This window comes from Homo sapiens, chromosome 9 (genome assembly GCF_000001405.40).
Source record: "Homo sapiens chromosome 9, GRCh38.p14 Primary Assembly".
Lineage (NCBI taxonomy): Eukaryota > Metazoa > Chordata > Mammalia > Primates > Hominidae > Homo > Homo sapiens.
The window spans coordinates 64488112-64490457 of record NC_000009.12 but is presented as its reverse complement, the minus strand read 5'-3'; the positions used below and the strand labels follow the sequence as shown (position 1 = coordinate 64490457).

The 2346-nt window shown below is 39.0% G+C and overlaps 1 pseudogene; it reads right to left on the bottom strand.

Moving 5' to 3' along the window:
* GXYLT1P6 (GXYLT1 pseudogene 6) lies at positions 473-1923 on the bottom strand (annotated as a pseudogene).

Genomic DNA, 2346 nt, shown 5'->3' with positions numbered 1-2346 from the left:
CTCATTCTCTCTCACATGCACAGATTAAAACCCCAAAGTTTTCACTATATTTCCTCTTTCTTATACAGCTCAATTTTTAACATGCAGCTTCCTTATAATCTAAAAACAATTTTAAATATGATTATCATAAAAATATTTTAAAACAGAGATGAAATGTGTAAAGGCAGATATAGATCATCCATGGTTACATTGGTTACATCACATTTCTTTAGAAACAGAACTGTTTCTACTCCTGTAGACAAACCTCTCTCACACATTTAAAGTGAGGTTAGTGCTGACATAAAATTATTGCTCTACTCACCATCTGAGTGTTTGCACTGTGTTTGAGGTACATTTTCTTCATTTTCACAGCTCCACCACTCTTGAGAGTATGAGTCAACAGAAGTTTGCAGGCTAAAACCATTCAATAATATTTTCATCAATACTGGAATGATAGTAAGTAACATTACACAACATCAGAGGCCAAAAATTTTTCTTTGTTGAAGCCCAAGATTTTAACTTATTCTTCATTACCTGAAAATACTGCTCATTTAACCTCTTCAGGAAAAAAAAAAATTCTGTAGATGAATAATTCCTGCCTTAATGCTTCACCCAAGACAGTTCCTTCATACTTATCCTCCGATGCTTTGTTCTTTTCATCCATTTGATGTAGCAGGCAACAAGAATCACCTTTCCTTTGGTGATCTGACATAGCGATCTCTTATGTTTTTGCTAATTGTTTGATAAATATTTAGTAAATTTTTCCACGGTATGTATGCACTATTTTTTGTAGTTCCAATTCTAAAGGTTTTATTAATGAATGAATATTGTCATCTTAAAAGAACAATTTCTGAGTGCTTCAAAAACAGCTCTAAATGCTGGTTGCTTATCATCATGGTAAACACCTCTGTTCCCGTGAAAAATAAAGATTCCTTCTTCTGCTTCTTGGCAACTGCTTCCATATAGACAATGATCTGGACGACACTTCCATTGACACAGAAAGACAAAAAGGCTTTCTGGATTATGAAAAAACAGGATATCCAACAGATCTTGATCGCCCATGTAATGTTTAACTTGTATATTTTAAGCCATGTCATAAGTATATCTCCTCATTGTAGTCATACAGTTGTCATATTATTCTTGAAATACTTCCTTCTCATTCAAGTCATGTTTGTCAACATAACTCCAGAGTTTACTCCAGCTTTTCCACACTATGGATGCCTAGCAAAGCGACTATACCATCCTATTTGACATTCCTTGTGTTCTGGGGCCATTTCAGAATTTGTGTGGAATTAAATTTCTTTAGTAAAGACCAAATATTATCAGCTGGTCTTTTAAAAAGGCTATCAGTGTGAGAGTCAACTTCTTTCAGGAATAACGGCAAGGACAATCTCTGCAAACTACATGGTTTAAAGAGTTTTTCCACTCTGCTGCATTCTCACTTGGAAAGGTTATGGAGTATACTGTATAATTAAATATTTGTAGGAATGACCCCTGTCAAGCCTTCCTTTAAAGCTATGATGTAGTTGATCTTCAGCAAAAATCTGGAATTGAAGAGGTTTGATCCTGAAAATAATAGCTGACTTCAACATGGTCATAGTTTCTTCCAGTCTTTCACTTAGATACATTTTCTCAACGGGCTGTATTTTCAGACTACACCTGTCCCACCTGCGGGGATGCGCAGCGGGACAAGCGCTGTTCGCGCCTCTCACCGCACCGCATCCGCCTCCCGCCAGCCACGAAGCCACTGCGGCCTGCGGCTTCCAGCCACCACTGCCCGCTCCTTCCTCCGGGGACACGGGGAGCTGGCTGAAGGCGTAAAGGAGCGAGCAGAAGCCTCAGGCCAGACACAGAGCCACCACGCACGGTAGCGCCGCATGGCCCCAGCGGCGTTCCTCGGTCTCCGTCTCCGCCGCGCCCGCCTGGCGAACTGGAGCACAGGGACCATAGTTCTGGAAATTTATCCTTTTTCTCTCCAAGGATTCAGCAGCAGTGTCTAAAAGAAAAAAATTCATCAATCAATCATTTATATATGTTTTAATATAAAGATATAAAACAGTGGAACCAGTGGAACTGGATAGAAAGTAATTCAGTTTTACAGAACACATCTGTTTTTCAGGCTCTTACTTTTCTTAAACATAAAAGAGCCATATATATTTCTATGGAATTCCCCTTTTACTTAAGAATTCATTATCAGCGAATTAGTGTAACGAGGCTGTTTTGTTAGAGGCTGTGGTTGCATTCAAAAATTAGAATAGGAACAACGACTTGTAAAAATTCAACACTTTATTTTATTTTTGAGACAGTCTCACTGTGTTGTCCAGGCTGGAGTGCAGTGGCTTGATCTCAGCTCACTGCAACCTCCCC